General features: G+C 37.7%; 1 protein-coding gene across 4 annotated transcripts in view; it reads left to right on the forward strand.

The window, feature by feature from the left end:
- Positions 1–19,413, forward strand: part of PRIM2 (DNA primase subunit 2) — a 425,311-nt gene extending 405,898 nt beyond the window's left edge. For all 4 annotated transcript variants that reach the window (XM_047418987.1, NM_000947.5, XM_047418993.1 and 1 more), the window contains 2 exons: positions 4,696–4,764; positions 18,491–19,413. In XM_047418987.1, the coding sequence (XP_047274943.1) occupies positions 4,696–4,764; positions 18,491–18,721 (300 nt within the window). In that variant the 3' untranslated portion in view covers positions 18,722–19,413. The remainder of the gene's footprint in view (positions 1–4,695; positions 4,765–18,490) is intronic.

Genomic DNA, 25,516 nt, shown 5'->3' on the forward strand with positions numbered 1-25,516 from the left:
GAGTGTAGGGTTGCAATCTTGGCTCACTGTAACCTCCACATCCCGGGTTCAAGCGATTCTCCTGCCTCAGCCTCCTGAGTAGCTGGGATTACAGACACGCACCACCACACCCAGCTAATTTTTGCATTTTTAGTAGACATGGGGTTTCCCCATGTTGGCCAGACTGGTCTTGAACTCCTGACCTCATGATCCGCCTGCCTTGGACTCCCAAAGTGCTGGGATTACAGGTGTGAGCCACCGTGCCCGTCCACTACTCACTTTTTCTTAGCCTTTTGATTACTGACGAACTAGATTAGAACAGTAAGTGGATTGTTACACTTGACATTTTGTACTTTATCTGGAAATACTGGCATTAAAAACTAAGTCATACTGCCATTTGTATAATATTCTTAGATCTTTATATGAGTTTTTTCTTCAAATAAAAATTGTGTTTCTAAATGTCTTTGATATGATTGTTCAAAATGTTTGATATTTTTCTAAAACAGATTTGGGAAACTTCTGGCCCCAGCATCAGAATGGACCCTTGATTTGGTTTCCTCTGACCTTTGGAAAACTGTTCTTTGGTATTATTGCAATATGCAAGAGGACCTCATAAGGTGCTCTGGTTCTTTCAGAATGGAACATGAAAACTGGAGAGTTAGTGTCAGTGCTCATTGAAACATCTTTTGTGAGCTGTGGGTTAGACTTTGATACTTACAAGCCACATAAATAGCAAGCCATGGACTCCATTTACTTATCCCATTTCTCTGGCTTTCCACATTTTTCTTCCTATTCTTGTTTTTTGTCTCTTCATTATATTTCTTCCTCTTGATGGGTTTCCACCTCTATGTAGTATGTGTTTTCCTGACCTATTCTATTTCTGACCCTCACTCTGGGCAGTCCTGGCCTGCCATCTTGGGAAGCTATCTTTTTAGGAGCCAAGACCAGCTTGTGAGGATGGAGGTCTGGGCTTTCAGAAGCTATGCTGCAGAAACAAACACAGGCAAAAAGTACTCTTGCCTAACAACATCTTCATTACTTTGTGGAGTATTTCAGTTTTTTCTTAATACGTTTTTAAAAATTTTTATTTTAGATTCAGGGGGGCACATGTGCAGGTTTATTATATGGGTATGTTGCATGATGCTGAGGCTTGGGCTGCTAATGATCCCATTGCCCAAGTAGTGAACATAGTACCTGATAGGTAGCTTTTCAACTCTTGTCTCCCTTCCCCCAGTTTTAGAATCCCCAGTGTTTATTGTTGCCTTTTTTGTGACCATGTATAACCAATGTTTAGCTCCCACTTTAAGTGAGAACATGTGGTATTTGATTTTTTTTTCCTGCATTAATTTGCTTAGGATAATGGCCTTCAGCTGCATCTGTGTTGCCATAAAGGACATGATTTTGTTCTTTTTTTGTGGCTGCATAGTACTCCATGGTGCATAAGTATCTTGTGGAAATTTGACCCTAAATTCTGTTTCACGCAGTGTACCTTAGGCATCTGTTCTTGGATTTTGGTGTTTGCCAGGTTTGTAATTTTGATCCTATATCATAAGCTGAATTTTAGTGTCTTGGTCATACCTTAATGCTTCATTTCCTTCACCTGATTTTTAGTTTGTATTTCCTGCCTTGGAGTCATCCAACCCCCTCAGCAAGTTGTATTAGTATCAACATCAAAATAGAGTTACCTGCAGAATATCTTAATACAGTGCTTAGTGGTGATGTTCATATTGGAAAAATTTAACAAAACAAAGTGCAGAAGAAGTCTCAGGTTGCAGTCCATATACAAATTCTAGAACATCAGAATCACTTGGGAAGATTTTCATGTCAGCAAAGTGTGCATCTAAGAAGTCCTAACTCTAAGAGACATGAGGTATCATACTCCTGTTTCTACACAGAAAATATCTGTTTGTTAATCATATTGTTTAGTGGCTACTGCGTGATATTTTGGGTATTTTACATTTATTTTATATGATAGGTTTGTTTTTCATATTCGCATTTTCCCGAGTTTTAGAACTAGTTATTTAGGAAATCAGTTGGCAGGGGAAGGGGTTGAGTGGTATCTCATGCATTATTTTAAGACATTGGAGGACAGGTTCCTCTTGAGTATTTTCATGCAGAACATCTGATTTTAGAAATATTTTATAGCCATTAAGTGGGAAATGCTCCTGTCTCCAAATCTGACCACTTACCATCGCCACTGATATTGCCACCCTGGTCCATGGATCTACCATCTATTCCCTGAATTCCTGTAATGAGCTCCCTGTTTCTACCTCTCTCCTTTCCAATCTGTTCCCAGCACAGCAGGCAAAAATGAACCCTCTGTAAATGTCAGTTCACTTTAGTCCTGCACATAGAATATTGTATTAGCTCCCCATTTTACTCAGAGAAAAAGTCAAACTTCATTCCTTGGTCCATCTTTTCTTTTCCTATATCTCTGTAATATAGATCATAATCTGAAATGAAACTATATATTCATTAGTTGGATTTTTTGGAGTAATGTTTTATGTTTTCTACCTTAATTTTAAAAGCATGTAAGTTATCTTCCTTTAAAAGAAAGATTATTAATTTGTATGTGATTTTTAAAATTCTTTCTGCGGTTAATGGCCCTCACCCTCAGGAGACAGATACTCCAATTTTAATATATTTCCTCATTTCTGAAGTGAAGATAAAAGTATCTACCAATAATACTTGTTTACCTCAAAAACCTCTATTGCCTTTTTTTCTCATCACACCTTTACTTATTTATAGAAACCTTCATCTATCTCAAATATGCTGGGACATGATTAAAGTTCTTTAAGCTATCCTGATCATAGTTGAATGACTTGTTTATAGATTTGCAAGCAGATTTTAAATAAAAATTCATCCTAATAAAATAAAACAAAAATAAAAGTAAATTATTTTTGTTAAGGAAGAGCCCTCTCTGCGAGTGGGGTCAGGTCAGGGGAAGATTGTAGTGTGATTAATTTAAATTTAATTTTTTTATGGACCCTAAAAATTGAACCTAAAATTTGCAATACATCTGTTTTTCTCACATTCTGTGGCTTTTATGTCAGTTTTCTTTAGTAAGTTTTTTACACGTGTGGATTACCCAACTAAATTTTTTATTAATATGATTTATTATTTCTTCATAGCATGTTTCCCAAACATATACATACTAGATTGTATGTATGTATGTATATCATGTTACATATTTACTTTTTATATGGTTGAGCTTTTTTATTTCTGTGAATCCATTTCTTCTTCAGGTAATTTATGGGATCATCTAAAGCTTAAATTTATGTTTGAAGTCTTTACTTCTCCAAAATTCTAATTCAGATATTAATATATTATTATAGATGTTTGTCAGTAATTATTTGCAAGTTTATCTCATCACAATTTGAAAATCTGTGTGAAGAGCATCAGACAACATGAACTCAGTGTTAGCGTTACTTGGAAAACTTGCAGAATAAATTTAAAAATGAAGAAAGTCTCATTTTAAATTGATTTTTCATATTTTACTCTAATAATTCAAGAAAAGTAGACAGGCCAGATAGTCAGACTGGCAGAAACCTGGCCTCTGTGGTTGGCTGGCATTTACACAGGTCTTTCATATATGATTTAATAAAAGGTGACACGAAATTCAGAAATGTAATCTATAAGACAATCAGAGAAAAACAATTTTTGAAGCACATTCTTGTCAGTATTGTATAATGCCTGTTCTGTAACTAATTTTTTTGTGTGTATCTGTCAAATGACATTAAGCTATATTCAATAATGAGGATAGCAAGAATTTGAGACCCCATGTTCATTTCTTTTTGTGACAGGAAGATCAGCCTTTTAAAACATAAAAAAGGAATAGAAATTAACATTTCTCCAGAATTATGTTTCCATTCATTTGAGGTTATCTCTTAATTCCAGCATTTTACTGCATTTGATAAATAGGCCAATTATGTGTTTTATTTATTTGAGGGCTTGGGGGAGGCAATGAAACTTTACAAATTTCAACTGGCATTGCAGTCTGCTGATAAGGATGGGAGTTTGCACCGCTCTGAAGAGATTACATGAAGTAGAGTTGGAAAGCAAATTGTATTTACAAAAGATAGGATGATGTTCCTAACAGGTGTTCAGAATAGGCTATTCACTCTCATATTCTGCTGAGCTTTGCTAGAAATAACTTCATTTCAAAAAGGACAAATCTGACTGAAGGTAAAAGCATTCCCTCTTCACAGATACTTGTCCAAAAGGGTTTACATTAAATTTTCCTGATGGGCACACAGCAGTATTTTATGCTGTATCTGTATAAACCATTAACGTGGAAAATAAATATCTAAATAGTATACTTGATTGCTTCATGCACCAACCATTAGATTACTAGATTTCTATCTACAGTTTTCGGAGAGATGTTGCAATATGATGTTCTGACAATAACTGTCAAAGTCATCATACCAGGATCCATTTTCATCTTGTTGTTGAGGTAAAGTTATTAAAATGTACAGTTGGTAGGTCAGAAAGATCACTGTCTCTTGTCATCTGTGGTTTAATGCTGACCTAAACCACTACTGTATAATGTCAGAATTATCACAGTGTCCAGGCTGCAGAAGTACAACATGCTACATGATTTATTGCATTTCCTGTCTGGAATGAAGATTATGAAAAGGCCAACAACTGTGAGCTACAGTGGTTTAGAAGAAAACTTAATTTCTAATTTTTATTTCTCTTTTTCCTCATTCATTTTAGATTTTGGATTTAGTAAAGGGGACACATTACCAGGTAGCCTGTCAAAAATACTTTGAGATGATACACAATGTAAGTATTTTTTTTAACTTTATATCCTAATTATTTGTCTTTTGTTACTGTGTCACATTCAGGGTTTTTAGTTGCAGCAATGGAAACCACTCTAGCTATTTTCAGCAGAAAAGGGGATTGCATGGTATTAAGTAACTTACAGCATTTATTGAACGACCAGACAACTAAGCTTGGATGCTGCAGAACCAGGAATATTTTGTAATTAGGAGAAGCTACATCATGAGAAAATCTTTACTACAGTTGTCACCCACCACTCCATATCTAGGGATGAGCCCAAGGGTCAATAAAGTTTTTCTGTAAAGAGCCAGAGTGTAAAAATTGTAGGCTTCATGGTCCATATGGTCTGCGTCACAGCTACTCAACTCTACTGTTGTAGTGCAAAAGCAGCTGTAGAAAATATGCAAATGAACAGGTATGACTGTTGATCCAATAGAACTCTATTGATAAAATTAGGTAGTAGACCCAGTTTGACCCACGGGCCTTGATTTGCCAACCTCTAGACTAGATCTGGAATCTTTGCCACAGCTGCCTAGAAGAACCAAGGCTCTTGCCATCTTCCATGCAGAAAATCTGATCCTTGTACTTGTGGCTGCCACCTGATGTTACTGTAATCCACTTCCCAAGTCTCATACTTATCTGCATGGCAAAACCTAGATTGCATATGGACCCCTAACTATACACGAGTCAGGGAAATGTGTTTGGTTTTTATCTTGCCAGCTTCCTTAGTACAAAAAAGCCTGCTTGATTATTAGAGTAAGAGTGGAATGACCCAGTCTGGCACAGAATAGATTTTGAAGTGTGTAAAGCCAATGTCACAAACTCAGAGGCCTACAGAGATGGGGCATATAGCCCAAAAAAGTGAAGCTGCCTGAGATTAGTACAACAGAGTACGGCAGAATTATGGTGCACTAAACATGTTTGCCCTATTAGAGGCATTCACATTGACAAATTGTGAGGCCCTCTGCAGGCCAACAAAACACATCTCCAAGTCCAATTCAGTCCTCTGGCCCCTAGTTTGCATCCACTGATCCTGAGCCTGGATTTCTAACCTGGGAAAGACATCCAAGAACGGACTTTGGAGATCTTTGTACTTCTTGAAACATTTTGTCTCTAAGTACATATGTGTATTTTTCCAGAGTCCATGTTATTTATTAAAGATCCATGACCCTCCCAAAAAGGAAGTTGCATTTGTTGAAATCATCATCAGCTACCATGCTAAAGTTTTACAATTATTTTTATGTTTTTTATTTGGTTGTTACAAAGTAGTTTTTCTATTATGGTTATATAATTGCAGAATTTCTTACTTGATAAAATATCTCATAGGAAAAAGATATTTTATAATATTACCAATAATAATTGAAATAATAATAGTAATACCAGCCAATATCTATGGAACCCTTAATGCAGCAGTCCCCAACCTTTTTGGCACCAGGGACCAGTTTCATGGAAGACAATTTTTCCATGGTTAAACAGGGGCTGGTGGGAGGGCACATTAGATAATCACGAGAAGCACGCAACCTAGATCCCTTGCATGCGGGGTTCACAATAGGGTTCACACCCGCATGAGAATCTAAGGCCACTGCTGATCTGACAGGAGGTGGAACTCAGGCAGTGATGCAAGTGATGGGGAGTAGCTGTAAATACAGATGAAGCTCCACTCACTCACCCACTGCTCACCTCCTGCTGTGAGGCCCAATTCCTAACGGGCCGTGGACTGGGTTGGGAACCCCTGCCTTAATGTATACCAGGCACAGCACTAAAATTTTTGAACGCATTAGCTCTTTTGATTGACATGACAGCAAGATACTATATGTATATTTCCCTGTCTATGAATAAAACTTAGAGAAGTTAAACAATCTGTGTGGGGTCACACTACTTATAGGGGATAGAACTTAGATTTAAATTCAAGCTGTCTAACTCATCTAAAGCTTGTGAGCATAACTATGACTGTACTGTCCTATGATATTTGGTACTAAATTTGTGATAATGACAGCAGAGGTAATTGGCATTTTCCTGTTTATCTTCATAGCATGGTAAACAGGTAGGGACTCTAACTTGCCTTACATGCTGTAATTGATTAATGGAAGATCTGGAGCTAGAGCCCCAGTCTGTTGTGGGTCCTGTCCTCATTCTTCTATACCTAACTTTTGAAAGTATTGTTCTTATTTAAAAGCTTTTTTTAAAACAAAACTCAAGGAGTAAACATCAAGAAAATAGCAACAACAAAATCTCATTAGTTTTATCACACTAGGAATCTCGCCAGATAAGCCATGTTTGGCAACACCAGGTTTATATGACTCGCTCTCTCGGAGACTGCATTCTTTAATTTGGTTGCTCCGCTTGAGAGTTTTAATTTCCTATTGTTCTTTAATCATTTGTGGATGCTTTTAATTAAGAGGCCTCAGAATTTTCACAAGTGAGGTCTATTATCCAACCTCTTTTTATAAAAATAAGATATGAAAATTAGATTTAAACATTGAGTTTGTGGCATAATCACCAAAAAGTAAGGAGTGGTTTTTATTTCTCAAATCTGCTTTTGTAATATCTCTCCTATTGATTATTCCCTCAAGTATTGCCACTATTGCCAATTTTTAAAACTTGCTTTACATTAATGAAGATTTTGGAAAGACATATATCTAAATCCTTTCACATATAAAAATAGTCTAACTAACTTAAACCACACTTAAATCAACAAAATAAAAAGGCTGTTTGTATTCACTAGATCTCTCACTGTGGACTTTTAGATGTGAATATCCTCCTTCATTTATATTTTTTCTAATTTAATTTAAAAATAGAATCTATTTTTACTGTCAGGTTTCTGCCATCCTACCCCTCCCCAAAATAAAATCCTATGTTTATTTTCCCAAGGCCTCTGTGATCAAACTTACTTAAATGGAAGTTTTGAAAATAAACCAGTTAATTGATACCATTTGCAGCAGCACTATGATAGTTCCATATGGCTTTTTTGGTAATACCAGCTGCCTCATTATAAGCTGTCATTGCAAAACCTCTTGATTAAAACCCAAATATCCCATAGGTAAAACAATATTGCTTTCATTCCTTCAAAATCTACATTTGCAGTGGCAGAAATATGAGACCCATGTTTGTGTGAAGGTCATTGTGTGCAGAATGTGCTGATTCCAAGCAAATGTTTGAGATTCATTTAGTAGATGTTAAAAGCTGGCCTGCTTGAAACCTGTTTTCCTCTGTATTTTTAGGGTCAATGTTTAAAATAATTTTATACTAATAGTATATTCTTTACTTTCTGCATATTCCATGTATAAATGAAAACACTAGGTCATGTGTAGATTCATCACAGAATTTTAATAGAAATTAATGTTTTCAGAGGTAGACCTCTTTGGACACTGAGTAACTGTGGGTACTTATTTTCCAAATGGCTGAGCATAATTTTTCCCCACCATATAAATCTCTAGAGAAATCTTATTAAAACTTATCACACATTTTCCTGCAATCTTAAACAGGATATATGTGATACAATTAAGCCCTTTTATAATAACTCAGGGTCATCATTATGGATATCAGTTAGAATGCTGGACTAGAAGCCACCATCATCTCACTTGGATCACTGCAATAGCTTCCTAACTCGTTTCCCAGCATCTACACATGCCCCATTCCAATTCTTTCTCCTCCACACAGCTGCTGGAGTGACCTTTAAAATAGAGGAATCTGATCATTTCAGGAACCTGCTTTTTAAAATTTTCAGTGGCTTCCTATTTCTCTTAAGATGAAATCTAAAATTTATAATGTATCCTCTAAAGGCCTCCACTCCACCCACCTTCCTCTAGACTCCTAAATTTGTTTCAGATCCTTTACAGGACTTTGGACCTGAAACACTAGGACCAAGCTAGTGTGGTAGAATCCAAATGCTTCACAGAATTTTCCCATCTCAATACATAAAATAATGCACAAAACATAATTTTTTAAATCATCAACCACAAAGAAAAACACTAATAGTAACCAAAAAAGAAAACAGGCAAGGAAAGAAACAAAAGAGTCACAGTAGACAAAGTCATGAAAATGCTCACTTAATATTTCCAAACAGAGTAAAGGAAATAGCTGCTGACTTGAGAAGAAATAAGTAAAATGGAGGATTTAGATGTGGATACCTCTATTTCTCTATTCCTTTTCCTAATTTAATTTGAAAGTGAAGATTTCCATTCTGTTTAGTTTATGCTCTTCCCCTTCCCCCCACATACAAAAAAACCCCTAAGTTTATTTTCCTAAACAAGACAAAAGGAAACAGCCATATACACTTCCCTTAAAAATGAAAGTGAAGGAAACAGAACACAAAGAACCCATCCTAGAAGAAAATAGAATTCTATAAAAAGGAAACTTCATAATTTCATTTTGCTATCAAGCAACTTAGTAGATCACAAAGAGCATCACAAAATGAGTTAAGGACAATTGCAGATCAAGAGAAAGGAGAAACAGCATCACAGAGCCATGGCACAAATCCTCACTTCAAGGCCATTGGCACTGTTTTAGTGGTTAATAAAAAAAGATTAATTATCTCTGAAAAAAAGGCAGTAGCCCCAGTCAGGGGCTTATAGATAAAATCCCCATCTCCCTGGGATGGGGCACATGGGGGAAGGGGCAGCTGTGGATGCAGCTTCAGCAGACTTAAACGTTCTTGCCTGCCAGCTCTAAAGAGAGCAGCAGATCTCCCAGCCTAGCATTCGAGCTCTGTTAAGGGACTGCCTCCTCAAGTGGGTCCCTGACCACCATGTCTCCTGACTGGGAGACACCTCCCAGCAGGGGCCGACAGACATCTCATACAGGAGAGCTCCGGCTGGCATCTGGTGGGTGCCCCTCTGGGACGAAGCTTCCAGAGGAAGGAACAGGGCACAATCTTTGCTGTTCTGCAGCCTCCACTGGTGATACACAGGCAGACAGGGTCTGGAGTGGACCTCCAACAAACTCCAGCAGACCTGCAGCAGAAGGGTCTAACTGTCAGAAGGAAAATTAACAAACAGAAAGGAATACCTTCAACATCAATAAAAAGGAGATCCACTCAGAAACCCCATGCAAAGTTCACCAACATCAAAGACCAAAGGTAGATAAATCACAAAGACTGGGAGAAACCAGCGCAAAAAGGCTGAAAATTCCAAAAATCAGAATATCTCTTCTCCTCCAAAGGATCACAACTCCTCACCAGCAAGGGAATAAAACCGGATGGAGAATGAGTTTGACAAATTGCCAGAAGTAGGCTTCAGAAGGTGGATAATAACAACCTCCTCCGAACTAAAGGAGCATGTTCTAACCCAATGCAAGGAAGCTAAGAACCTTGAAAAAAAGTTAGAGGAAATGCTAACTAGAATAACCAGTTTAGAGAACATAAATGACCTGATGGAACTGAATAACACAGCAAGAGAACTTCATGAAGCATACACAAGTATCTGTAGTCGAATTGACAAGCGGAAGAACAGATATCAGAGATTGAAGATTAACTTAATGAAATAAAGCAAGAAGACGAGATTAGAGAAAAAAGAATGAAAAGGAATGAACAAAGCCTCCAAGAAATAGGGGACTATGTGAAAAGACCAAACCTATGTTTGATTCTCCCTGAAAGTGACCGGGAGAATGGAACTAAGTTGGAAAACACTTCAGGATATAATCCAGGAGAACTTCCCCAACCTAGCAAGACAGGCCAGCATTCAAATTCAGGAAATGCAGAGAACACCACAAAGATACTCCTCAAGAAGAACAACCCCAAGACACATAATTGTCAGATTCATCAAGGTTGAAATGAAGGAAAAAATGTTAAGGGCAGCCAGAGAGAAAGGTCAGGTTACCCACAAAGGGAAACCCATCAGACTAACAGCGGATCTCTCTGCAGAAACCCTACAAGCCAGAATAGAGTGGGAGCCAATATACAACATTCTTAAAGAAAAGAATTTTCAACCCAGAATTTCATATGCAGCCAAACTAACCTTCATAAGCGAAGGAGAAATAAAATCCTTTACAGACAAGCAAATGCTGAGAGATTTTGTCACCACTAGGCCTGCCTTACAAGAGCTCCTAATGGAGGCACTAAATATGGAAAGGAACAACTGGTACCAGCAACTGCAAAAACATATCAAATTCTAAAGACTGTCGACACTATAAAGAAATTGCATCAACTAATGGGCAAAATAACCAGCTAGCATCATAAGGACAGGGTCAGATTCACACATAACAATATTAACTTGAAATGTAAAGAGGCTAAATGCCCCAGTTAAAAGACATAGACTGGCAAATTGGATGAAGAGTCAAGACCCATCGGTGTGCTGTATTCAGGAGACCATTTCACAGGCAAAGACACACATAGGCTCAAAATAAAGGGATGGAGGAATATTTACCAAGCAAACAGAAAGCAAAAAAAAAAAAAAAAAAAAAAAGCAGGGATTGCAATCCTATTCTCTGATAAAACAGACTTAAAACCAACAAAGATCAAAAGAGAGACGGGCATTACATAATGGTAAAGGGATCAATGCAAAAAGAAGAGCTAACTATCCTAAATATATATACACCCAATACAGGAGTGGCCAGATTCATAAAGCGAGTTCTTAGAGATGTACAAAGAGACGTAGACACCCGCACAATAATAGTGGGAGACTTTAACACCCCACTGTCAATATTAGATCAACGAGACAGAAAATTAACAAGGATATTCTGGACTTCAACTCAGCTCTGGACCAAGTGGACCTAATAGACATCTACAGAACTCTCCACCCCAAATCAACAGAATATACATTCTTCTCAGCACCACATTGCACTTATTCTAAAATTGACCACATAATTAGAAGTAAAACACTCCTCAGCATATGCAAAAGAATGGAAATCTTAACAGTCTCTCAGACCACAGTGCAATCAAATTAGAACTCAAGATTAAGAAACTCACTCAAAACTGCACAACTACATGGAAACTGAACAGTCTGCTCCTGAATGACTACAGGGTAAATAATAAAATTAAGGCAGAAATAAATAAGTTCTTGAAACCATTGAGAACAAAGACACAACGTACCAGAATCTCTGGGACATAGCCAAGGCAGTGTTTAGAGGGAAATTTATAGCCCTAAATGCCCACAAGAGAAACCAAGAAAATCTAAAGTCGACACCCTAGCATCACAATTAAAAGAACTAGAGAAGCAAGAGCACACAAATTCAAAAGCTAGCAGATGGCAAGAAATAACTAAGATCTGGGCAGAACTGAAGGAGATAGAGACACAAAAAACCCTTCAAAAAATCAATGTATCCAGAAGCTTGTTTTTTGAAAAGATCAACAAAATTGATAGACTGCTAGCAAGACTAACAAAGAAGAAAAGAGAGAAGAATCAAATAGATGCAATAAAAAATGATAAAGGGGATATCACCACTGATCCCACAGAAATACAAACTACCATCAGAGAATACTGTAAACTAGAAAGTTTAGAAGAAATGGATACATTTCTGGACACATACACCCTCCCAAGACTAAACCAGGAAGAAGTCAAATCCCTGAATAGACTAATAACAGGTTCTGAAACTGAGGCAGTAATAGCCTATCAACCAAAAAAAAAAAGCCCAGAACCAGACAGATTCACAGACAAATTCCACCAGAGGTACAAAGCAGAGCCGGTACCATTCTTTCTGAAACTATTCTAAACAACAGAAAAAGAGGGAGTCCTCTCTAACTCATTTTATGAGGCCAGCATCATCCTGATTCTGAAACCTGGCAGAGACACAACAAAAAAAGAAAATTTCTGGCCAATATCCCTGGTGAACATCGATGCAAAAAATCCTCAATAAAATACTGGCAAACTGAATCCAGCAGCACATCAAAAAGCTTATCTACCATGATCAAGTCAGCTTCATCCCTGGGATGCAAAGCTGGTTCAACATATGCAAATCAATAAACATAATCCAGTGCATAAACAGAACCAATGACAAAAACCACATGATTATCTCAATAGATGCAGAAAAGGCCTTCAACAAAATTCAACATCCCTTCATGCTAAAAACTCTCAATAAACTAGGTATTGATGGCACATATCTCAAAATAGTAAGAGCTATTTTTTGACAAACCCACAGCCAATATCATACTGAATGGGCAAAAACTGGAAGCATTCCCTTTGAAAACTGGCACAAGACAAGGATGCCCTCTCTCACCACTCCTATTCAACACAACATTGGAAGTTCTAGCCAGGGCAATCAGGCAAGAGAAAGAAATAAAGGGTATTCAAATAGGAAGAGAGGGAGTCAAATTGTCTCTGTTTGCAGATGACATGATTTTACATTTAGAAAACCCCATTATCTCAGCCCAAAAACTTCACAAGCTGATCAGCAACTTCAGCAAAGTCTCAGGATACAAAATCTCTGTGCAAAATCACAAGCATTCCTATACACCACTAATAGAGAACCAAATCATGAGTGAACTTCCATTCACAACTGCTACAAAGAGAATAAAATACCTAGCAATACAACTTCCAAGGGATGTGAAGGACCTCTTGAAGGAGAACTACAAACCACTGCTCAAGGAAATAAGAGAAGACACAAACAAATGGGAAAACATTCCATGCTCATGGATAGGAAGAATCAATATCGTGAAAATGGCCGTAATGCGCAAAGTAATTTACAGATTCAGTGCTATCCCTATCAAGCTACCATTGACTTTCTGCGCAGAATTAGAAAAAACTACTTTAAATTTCAAGTGGAACCAAAAAAGAGCCCACATAGCCAAGACAATCCTAAGCAAAAAAACAAAAAAAAAACAACGCTAGAGGCATCACGCTACCTGACTTCAAACTATACTACAAGGCTACAGTAACCACAACAGCATGGTACTGGTACCAAAACAGATATATAGACCAATGGAACAGAACAGAGGCCTCAGAAATAATGCCACAGATCTACAACCTTCTGCTTGTTGACAAACCTGACAAAAACAATCAATGGGGAAAAGATTCTCTATTTAATAAATAGTTTTGAAAAAACTGGCTAGCCATATGCAGAAAACTGAAACTGGACCCCTTCCTTACACCTTATACAAAAATTAACTCAAGTTGGATTAAAGACTTAAACGTAAGACCTAAAACCATAAAAACCCTAGAAGAAAACCTAGGCAAAACCAATCAGGACATAGGCATGGGCAAAGACTTCATGACTAAAACACCAAAAGCAACGGCAACAAAAGCCAAAATTGATAAATGAGATCTAATTAAACTAAAGAGCTTTTGCACCGCAAAAGAAACTATCATCAGAGTGAACAGGCAACCTACAGAATGGGAGAAAATTTTTGCAATCTATCCATCTGACAAAGGGCTAATATCCAGAATCTACAAAGAACTTAAATTTACAAGAAACAAACAATCCCATCAAAAAGTGGGCCTAGGATATGAACAGACACTTCGCAAAAGAAGACATTTATGTGGCCAACAAACATATGAAAAAATGCTCATCATCACTGGTCATCAGAGAAATGCAAATCAAAACTGCAATGAGATACCATCTCATGCCAGTTAGAATGGGGGTCATTAAAAAGTCAGGAAACAACAGATGCTGGAGAGGATGTGGAGAAATAGGAATGCTTTTACACTGTTGGTGGGAGTGTAAATTAGTTCAACCATTGTGGAAGACAGTGTGGCGATTTCTCAAGGATCTAGAACCAGAAATATCATTTGACCCAGCAATCCCATTACTGGGTTGTACCCAAAGGATTATAAATCATGCTACTGTAAAGACACATGCACACGTATGTTTATTGTGGCATTGTTCACAATAGCAAAGACTTGGAACCAACCCAAATGCCCACCAATGATAGACTGGGTAAAGAAAATGTGGCACATATACAACATGGAATACTATGAAGCCATTAAAAAGGATGAGTTCATGTCCTTTGCAGGGACATGGATGAAGCTGGAAACCATCATTCTCAGCAAACTAACACAAGAACAGAAACCAAACACTGCATGTTCTCACTCATAAGTGGGAGTTGAACAATGAGAACACATGGACACAGGGAGGGAAATATCACACACCAGGGCCTGTTTGGGGGGGTTGTGCTAGGGGAGGGATGGCATTAGAAGTCCCTAATGTAGATAACAGGTTGGTGGGCGCAGCAAACCACCATGGCATGTGTATGCCTATGTAACCTGCACGTTCTGCACATGGACTCCAGAACTTTAAGTATAATTTAAAAAATATTAATTAAAATGAGGATTCATTAACGATATGCACATACCTTAAATATTATATCTTTTTTTTTTTTTTTTTTTTTTTTTGAGACGGAGTTTCGCTCTGTCGCCCAGGCTGGAGTGCAGTGGCGCGATCTCGACTCACTGCAAGCTCCGCCTCCCGGGTTCACGCCATTCTCCTGCCTCAGCCTCCCGTGTAGCTGGGACTACAGGCACGCGCCACCATGCCCGGCTAATTTTTGTATTTTTAGTAGAGACGGGGTTTCACCGTGTTAGCCAGGATGGTCTCAATCTCCTGACCTCGTGATCCGCCCGTCTCGGCCTCCCAAAGTGCTGGGATTACAGGCGTGAGCCACCACGCCCAGCCCCTTAAATATTATATCTTAAAGTTAAGTCATTTAAATGCCATTTATTAGTTAGGGCAGGGTCTTTTGAGTATCGTTTAGTGTTTGGAATTTGATTTTATCTTTCTTTTATAAACTATACCCATAATACAGCATCAGCAATTTCCAGTTTGGATTCCTTAAAGTAGAAAAGGAACTTGATATATGCAAAGCAATAGGATCTTTCTCCCTCTCCTTCTGTGACTTTCACCTTTTTTTTAAGTGACTTGCTTTTCTTGACTCTTTAAAAACATTTTATTTAGATTTCATAGAACAATTTTTTTTAACATTCATTTTTATTTACTTTTCCCATGGCAACCCTATGACCTAACACTGTTATCTCCATTTCATAGATGGAGAAAATCAGACTTTAAAAAGATTACCCTATTTTGTGCACATTGAAGTCTAATAAATGTATTGCTAACTGACAACTTGAAGCGAGGTATAGAAAATGCCAAGATATTATTATAGCATAAGATACTAGGTTATTTTTGCATGAAATAGTACAACTATGTTTTTCTAATCTTTGTAGCCAAGTTTATCTCTAGAAATAAAATTTATAATGGAGATATCATTATCAGTATGATTTTGCATACAATCTCTTAAAACAGATTTCAGAGCAACTAATGATCTAGTCAGAAGGCCTGAATTTTAATTCAGACAAAACCAGTTACTAATTCTATGACCTTGAATAAACCATCTATTCTCCTTAGGCCTCTGTACATGGAGGAGATTGAATTTAATGGATTCCCCAAGGTCTTTCTAATCTCTGATTCTCTGTTTACAAACTATTTTACAAACTGTAAAGCCTTCTGATTAAAATGTATTAGACAATAAACATACTTTTTGTGAAACACATTGCAAAATGCAAAATTTATATTGGATTTCCCAGTTTTTAATGAATTGGGTGAAAATTGAATGTAATAAAAAAGTTCACAAATGATTCCATTGTTAATAAAAATTATAAAACATTTCAGAAACATTTTGAAATCAAGCAGCTAAGTTAAAAAAATGAAGCAAAGATAAAAATTTGTTCTTAATGATCTATAACTCTTAAAATCAGTCTGTATACTATCCATCTGTTACACACTGGAATTACTATAAAATTAGCCTAACATGTATTAACAACTAGCAAAAGAGAATCAGAGATTCCTAGGGTGCTTAGATAAGTATTACCAGAAAAGACTCATGTTTCTGTCTGCTGGTCCGTCCACCAGTAGGGTTCATTCTAGACCATGGCAGCAACCCCTTTTTCCCTGGCCAATTCATTTTAATCTACTAAAAGATTATACATAGCTTTAATCACACCACGTCTCTTTTTAAGGGTTTTTGGTGACTCTGTGTTGCCTAGAGAATTAGGTCTTGACCACTTACCCTGATTTTCAAGGCTCTCTCAGGCTGGCCCCTGCCTGTCTTTCCAACCTCATTCCTTATTGTTTCCTTGTATGTGCCTTTCATAGTAGGCTATGTGAACTATTTAATATTTGCTTTCCCAGGACATTCCCTCTTTACCTTGCTCATGTGGTCCTGCTGCAAATATTGCCTTTCCCCTCATCATCCCAGCTTTTCACCCTCTCCATCTTTCCAGACGCAACTCAAATAGCACTCCTCTTACAAAGCCTTCCTTGATCTCCTCAGCCGAAATTTCTCTCTACTGTGGAGTGTAATAGGCCTTTATCTGTGACCCTCATCAGTTCTCCATTCTTGGTAGAGGTTTTTAAGTATATGACTTACTGGGTTGGAAATTTGAGTTAGTCAAATGTATTCCTGTATGCTGAATAGTGAATAGTTTATAACACAGTCTTTTATATAGTAAGGCTTTAATTAAATATGCAAAATTATCACTGGTATACACTATTTCTGGGTTCACTTCACCAAATATTTATTAGATACCTACAGTGTGCAAGTCACTTCAGTACGAAGAGTGAGACGTAAAAGGATTAGTTAATACAAGACAGATGAACAAAAGAAATGGAATAACTTCTCAGTTTCCAAAAACTTGATAAATGAAAATACCACCCAAGAAACCAACAGTCACTCACTCAAGCAAAATGATATTTTTGTTGTCAACTCCAACTGCAGAAGGCGAGAAGGCAGGGATTTGAGACTGTGGAAAGTGAAACTGAATATAAGGAGAGATTACTAGAGTGCATAATTTGAAATGATACTCAAAATTAAAGTTTAATGATAGTATTTGAGAAAAAATAACATAAGTTATGAACCAGGCATGTTTGTATTCAGTCACAGTGAAATTTACAAGAAGAGATTTTCTGTAAAAAGACCAAGGAAAGGCCAAGATTAGAATGAAGAATTACATTGACTTAGGTTGCTTTTTCAGTTTATATCATACTAAATGAGTGCATATGCCAGACTTACAAGTCAGCTCTAAAACACAAGTGGTATCAGGGACCAGTATCAAAATGATCAAAAATGATTTTACGATCACTTAAAAACCCACAAATATTTACTGGCCTACAATGTGGTAGGCCTTTTGCTTGGAACTGGGGATACAATAATGAATCACACAGGTCCCTAACCTGTGCCTCACTAACATACAATGTCATTCACACACACACACACACACACACACACACACACACACACACACACACACATTTGTATTCCAAACATATTTTTATAGTTTTCTAATTTTTTGTTTTGACGTAATTGTCAACCAGAATTGGTAATGTTTTGGGTATTGCCAGAATTGAGGGCTTGGTGTAGATGGGAGGTGGCAGGTGGGAGTTGGGGGCTGGGGAGGTGAGAGAAAGGTGTCTAGTATGCCCCAAGGATGAATGGTGATACCAATCACTGAGAGCAAAGGATGGGGAGAGGGGAAAGGATACGTTTCCTGTTGGGTTTGAGCTGCCTTTGAGCCATCTTAGATGTTGAGTAGGTGTTGGATATGGGACTGAAACTAGATAGGGAACTGGAGCCAAACACAGAGGCTCAGACTAGAAATATAAATGTGGGAGCCATTTAGGTTTGGGTAGTGGTTGAAGCTCTCTTTGAATGAAATGGTGTAAGTAGCTGATTAAGTGTTAGAATGCAAACAGCTAGAATCCATGTTTCAGGTATTAAGTTTTAAACAAGTACTAAAACAGCTTTTGAAACTCATATATTTATAGCTTTGCCATGCATTAATGCAATATAAATTTCCTTCCTTTACAGGTGGATGATTGTGGCTTTTCTTTGAATCATCCTAATCAGTTCTTTTGTGAGAGCCAACGTATTCTAAATGGTGGTAAAGACATAAAGAAGGAACCTATCCAACCAGAAACTCCTCAACCCAAACCAAGTGTCCAGAAAACCAAGGATGCATCATCTGCTCTGGCCTCTTTAAATTCCTCTCTGGAAATGGATATGGAAGGACTAGAAGATTACTTTAGTGAAGATTCTTAGGCAGTTTTATAACCCTTTTTCCTCAATAGCCTGTTTCCTGTTTTTAAGATTTTGCCTTTGTTGTTGAAAAAGGGTTTCACTCTGTCACCAAGGCTTAGTGCAGTGACACAATTACAGCTGATTGCAGCCTTGACCTTCCCAGCTCAAGTGATCCTCCTACCTCAGCCTCCCAAGTAGTTAGGACCACAGGTGTGCACCTCATATCCAGATAATTTTTTTCAATTTTTTTTTGTAGAGGTGGGGGGTCTCCCTATGTTGCCCAGGCAGATCTCAGACTCCTGGGCTCAAGCGATCCTCACACCTCAGCGTCCCAGAGTGCTGGGATTACGGTTGTGAGCCACTGTGCCTGGCCTTTTTTTTTTTTTTAACCTTTTTGTTTAACTTCTCTCTTCACTGCATCCCAATCCATCTACAGGCATGCACACTTATTAGGAAAGGAGGTTTGAGGTAACAACAGAGACTTTCACTATATTTTGCTTTGACAGAAGGAAAGAGGAGGAGTTTCTATTAAAATCTGTCACTTGAGTGATGTCATTTAAGTCCTATTTTAGGAGATAAAAACAGCTTTGGGGACTGGTTAAAGTCCCCCAGAAACTACAATAAAGAACAACTTTTGTTTTAACTCTTAATCACTTTGTAATTTTGACTCAATCCTTTTCTGGACCATTTTTGTTAATAAATATCAAAGTGTACATGACAGTGTCTGCGTATAATTGGGAGAGTCTTATGTCGTAACAGATTGGACATTACTTCAGTTTTAAAATGGTAATTTGGAGTATCCAACACACTGCTGATCACTAATGAAGATTTTAAACTTTTCTTTACCTTTTTTTAAGAGTTGACCTATTTGTGGTTATTCTACATCAGGCACCTTTGAGTGGCACCAGACCCTCCTGAGTGAACTGTGACTTGGGAATTAACATAAAGTATAGCCAGTTATATTTATTAAGGAATAATAGGGATATTTTATTATGTAAAATAATGGCACGTCTTATCTGCTGCCATTACTCTGGGGACAGGTTCATGAAGAATAGACAATTACCAAGCAAGAAGGTTGTACATATAAAATAAAGTGTTTATTTTACCCTCCAACTTCCATACCTTATTACTTCTGTAGTTGCTGTGAATTACCAAATAGATTTGGTAAATTAAATTAATTTACTTGAGCAATGAATAGTGATACTTATAGTAACCCCCTCCTTTCAGTGCCAGCAATAGAATTTAATAAATGTTGTGGATGATTACAAACATACGAGATCAATGCCCTGTTCTCTCTGCCTGCTTTTGTCAAGGGAGTAAGGTGAAGTTGATGATCCCTGGCACGTATGCCTTGTGGAGCAGTGCCATTGTGGATACCCTCATCTAAATAGTGATTTCCTCCTGGGGCTCTACTCACTCACCAATAGGATTTGGGGTGCTCAGGAAACCCTGTTTGAAACATAGTTCTTCCTCATCTATTACCTTGGAATATGTGAAAAGTATTCGTCTATTTCTGTCTTCTTTTCCTGGTAAAGAGGGATACTTTTATCCTTTTGAATCAGATAGTAACTAAATTGAAAAGAGCACATTGTATTCAGAAAACTAGACTGTTAGCAGCACCATATTTTTAATCATGTGATAAACTGCATCATGATGAAAAGGATTAAACAGGATCAGATCATCAGAAACTAAAAATGTCAACTAATTGAGTTTTCATTTTAGGCTTCTGAGTCAAAGATTTCTTGGAATATTTAGCAACATATAATTAAATGAGATACTATCTATCTAAACTTTTACTTGTCTTGGTGAATTATTATTACCTAGTTCAGAAAATAGTATTATTCCACTACAAATTACCCCTATAAATCTCTGCCTTCTGAAACCATCTGCTACTCCCTTCATCATTTGTCGTTCTCAACAGGAATCTGATGATTGCCTACCACTTTATCCATGGACTGCAAAACCACAAGTCCTTCTTTAAAAAAAAAAAAAAAGAACAAGTGCTACCTGGAGCTGTTTTAACCACAGAATTAAGTTAGCTTTAGAAAGCCGAGCATAGAAATGTAGGTCTTCGCTGTGTTAAAAGAAGGGAGATATTAGAAGCACTCTCGCCACTGTAGTTCAATGAGAAATTTTCTGATAGAATGTTTTGTATCTGGCAGCATTTTGCAAGGCTGTCTTTTTCTACTGCTTCATGTTCTCCTTCTTTTATGAAGCCTGTGCTCCCACCAGCTAAAAGGACAGAGTCCTTAACGGCATGGTAGATGCAGCTTACTGGACTGTTTATTTTATACTGGCAGCCCCAGGAATTTGTGTCATCTCACTTGAATGTTTTATATGTGTCTAGTTGAACTCCAAAATAACACTAGTTTAAATATTAGTTGTATTACAGGTTCAATTCAATTTATTCATAATAAGGTTTGATCTCCTGTATTATACAGAAGAATATATAAACATTCTGTGAAATCTATAGATTAGAGGATAGGGGATAGAGGTTTATAAAAGATCAAAATTAATGCTTTTCTGGTGCTTTTTGGAGTTGGAAAAAGCAATTTATTTTTCATGCTTCACAGGTCTTGACAATTTTGATTTGTTTTCTTTGAGAGCAGACCTGTTTGAATTGGGCGATGTAAAGAACCCAAAAGAAAAAATCAAAAGCCAACAGCCTCTTTTCAAAACCGTAGCCAGTGAAAAAGAAAAGAATATGAGTCTTCCAGATCTTTTAACTGTTAGTCTTTTATTATCTCTTCAAGGAAGAGAGGCTGTATGATTGTATCAAAGACAAAAGAAGAAACAGCAAAAGAAAGAAACTAGGTTGGAAATTTGTAGCTGGTTGAAGCAATGACATTGTTAGGAGAAATTCTGTCACATTTCTTTCAAGTTGTTTTTCCATAATGTTTTTCACTCTGTCCATACAGTACAAAACTTAATTGCCATGTGCATGAAAGAACACTAGGAAGGTTTTAAGTAAACTTTTTAGGACTGCTTATAATATTATAGAGTCATAAAAGTAAATAGTTATAGATTTCGAATGAGCTGGGAATGGAATAAAGCAATGGGAAAGATCTTTAATTCACATAGAATTTTAATAAGCTAAGGGATTTCTTCTGTCTCTAAAAGCATGCAGGGTGTTTTGCTTGTTACACTTTGCTGTCTTATTGATACTCAGGGTCTTTGCAAGCAAACTTTGTAATTCTTTACAAAGAAGAGAAGAAAACTTCTGGGATTTAAGCTTGAAGGGTGAAATGAGACAACTCTAAAGTTCTGTTTCAGTTAGAGTCTACTCTGCAAATTTAATCAAGGTCTTCCGCAGGCATCAGCTTGACATTAAATTTAAGTGCCCCTTAAAGTGAGAGTTTGACAGCAGTTCTGAATGTGAAGCTCAGTCTGAGGACATCTTTACAGCTGGAAGGGGAAAAAAAAAAACGTTGAGAAGCCTCAAACCACTGTGGTAATTAGATCCATTTGTTAACTTCTTTTTTAATGTTGGCAAAGGGAGGGAGAGAAAAGGTTGACAGAGGCTGGAATCAGGAAGGCAGTCCAGAGCTCCCTGTAGAAATCGGGTAAGCAGAGTCCTGTATTGCAGAGAATACTGGCAGATATTCCCTCTGACAAATGAGTGAGATGGGGAATTTATTTTATGAACTTCATTCAGTTTGTCTTCCTTTCAATACACAGAGCCATGGTGTGTGGAAGCTGCGTTTTGGATAGGTGTGCTGGTTTGGTTGTAAGGCCCTTTGGAAGACACAGAGCGTTATTTGGGAGTGGACCTCTGGTGGTACGTTGTTGGCCTGAAGAGTTAATGTTTCTCACAAGGGTATCTAACTTATATTCAGGTAATCACTTATTTACCCAAAGCATCTGGTCTTTTCAGTATTGAATTCCTTTTTCACAGGTCGCGATTGCCCTAGTCTAAGGCTTCTCACCATAATTGGCATTGTAGGCAATTAGCTTCATGGAAATCATGTCACCAGTAGGAAATTATCTTCCTACTTCACTGACCTGCCTGCCAAAAATGATACTAGTTCTTGTTATTGGTTTGCTTTCTATCCTGTAAGCTCTTTTTGTTCATTGCTTCATGACATTTTACTTTTTCCAGAATTATCACTGTAGAACCTTATCAAAGGCTAAAGAATATGTCTTTGTATAAAGCTCCTGCATTTCCCTTGAGCTTTCCATTGCAGTACTGTTCTTGAACATTGATGACAAGGTAGTGAAACAACACTGCTAATAAATATATAATGGGTTTTTCAATCTAACCTTGCATTTCTAGGTATTCATTCACCACACTGAAACTATGAGGCTTTTTAAGGTTTTGTTTAGTTTTGCACTGAAAGCACAGGGAAAAGTAAATTCAACAAATACTGCATTTAATTAATACTGACCATCTTGCGAACATTTCCCCGATTACTCCCACACATTTTTTTAGAGATCTTACCTTCTATTTGAGTCATGGGATACCAAGGTTTTCATTACTGATTAAAAATGACATAGTGATACATACTTCTCTTTTCCCTTTCATTGGCAAGAATTAAACTGTGATTTAAACAATGCTCTATCACCCTTAACTCTTGGTTGTCCATAGAGTTCCTGCCTGGTTCTCTTCTTACTTCATGAGTCTCCTGGAGTGAACTCATTCACCCCTATGGTATTTTTTTCTATCCATATGCAAATAATCCCCAAATGTGTATCTCCAGCTGAGAATTCTCTGAGCACAGATCCATCTATACAGCTATCTCTTGGATCTCTTTTTAGGATATCCCACAAGTATCTCAAATTTAATTTGTTCAAAAATCAAACCTGTTCTCTCATCTATTTCTCACCTATTTTGTCAATACAGAAACCCTACAGTTAACCTTGACTGTGATTTTCCACCTTCTCCATACATCCAAATCCAATCGATTCTATTTTAATACCAGTGTGTCTAAACCAGTAGATCTCAAATGGGGGTAATTTTGCCATGCAGGAGACATTTTTGGTGATCACAACTGGAGGAGGGCCTGCTCTTGGCATCTAGTGGATGGAGGCTGAGGATGCTACTAAACATCCTACAGTGCCCCTACAGTGCCCAGGACAGCCCTTCACCACAAAGAAATATGTGGCCCGAAATGTGCAGAAACCCTGTTCTAAACGGTTTCCTCTCCTCCCTTCCTTCCTTGTACTACATTAGATTGCCCTCTCATCATTCTAAGTGAAGTGGTCTCAACTTACTAGCCTAGTCTCCATTTGCCCACCCTGAACCCCATCCCATATCCTTCTTCAAAATCTAATCCAAATACTTTTCCCCTGGGTGTGTGTCTTGATCATGGCTCTCCATTACCTATATGAGGAAGTCTAAACACCTATTATTTTGTGCATGAGGCCCTCCATGACCTGGTTCTGTCTACCTCTCCAGTTCCATCTATTGCCATTCAGCTCCCTACTCTATAATCCAATCCAGTGATTTAGCCATTCTGCACAAACTTTCCCTGCACATTCAACTACACACTCCCTCTTTCCTCATATTACCCTCCCTGCCTGGAATGCCCTTCCATTCCCCACCATGCTAACTACTGTTTCTCCTCTAAGGCTCAGGTTAGGTACATTCCTTCAGCCTTCTCTGTTGACCCCAGTATAGACTCATTGTCCCTTTCAGTTCATCTAACATATGCTATGGATGTTATACTTAATAGCTATATGACAGTACTTATACTTACAATCATCCATTTACTTGTGTTTCCCTTATGTTTGTTTTATAGTACCCATTTACTTATGTTTCCCTTCCTTACACTATAAAGTCCTTGAGGACAGAAACTAGATCACTTTCATATTTGAATCCCTAATAATTAGCATTGTCTCTAGTTCTTAGCATCGTGCATGACATTCTTGGGTACTCAGTAAACATGGGTAGAGTGCAGGAATGGTTACTTGCTTATTAGGAATCTCAAATTCATTGTTTTTAAGACCTACAAACAAGGGGTGGAATGGATTCTGGGCCCCAGATTGGAGGCATCACTTACAATCAAAACTTGGGCAAGCTCTTTAATTTTCCATGCTTCATTTGCTTCATATGACAAGGGGATAATGATTACACCTACTTCAAGATGATTCTGTTAGCTGCTATTACATCTACAACAGTCAGAATTCTGTCTGTCACATGGAAACACTTGTGTTGTTTGATAATCAACCCTTCCAACAAATGTTATACTACTACGTGGATTCTCCCTATTTCAGGGGCATTCATTCTGAATATCCCTTACCTGGAGTAATCCTCTTATATCCACTATAATGTGGTAGACTGTGGGAGCTAGGGGAACCCACCAAACAAAGTTTTAGCAAAAAGCACACATGTCAATGGATCTATGACTGCCACACCTTTGACACCTTTGTAGCCAGGCAGGGTAGATGGAGAATTGCCAACTATGAAACTGGAGGATTTCCTATGTATGGGATATACTGTGGTATGAAAAGTTGCTCACAGGGTGTCACAGAGTACTGCTTGTTCTTAAAAAGGAAGAACTGAGGCAACTTGAGCTTTGGAATATAGAAATGTCCGTGGGTTTACATATGATTCCCAGTGAAAGTGATACCTGTGGGGTACCTAGTCTCCAAGCACTTAAAAAAGTACTTTTAGGTAGATCAAATCAGGTGCCACCATGGCACTTCTGGAAGTGGATAAGAATAGTAATCATCTGCATTTTCCCTAAAAATGACTCTGAGAGGCCTGGCATGGTGGCTCACACCTGTCACCGTCACTTCAGGAGGTCAAGGTGGGAAGATCACGTGAGGCCAAGAGCCTGAGACTAGCCTGGGCAACACAGTAAGACTGTCTCTACA

Source organism: Homo sapiens, chromosome 6 (genome assembly GCF_000001405.40).
Source record: "Homo sapiens chromosome 6, GRCh38.p14 Primary Assembly".
Taxonomy (NCBI): domain Eukaryota; kingdom Metazoa; phylum Chordata; class Mammalia; order Primates; family Hominidae; genus Homo; species Homo sapiens.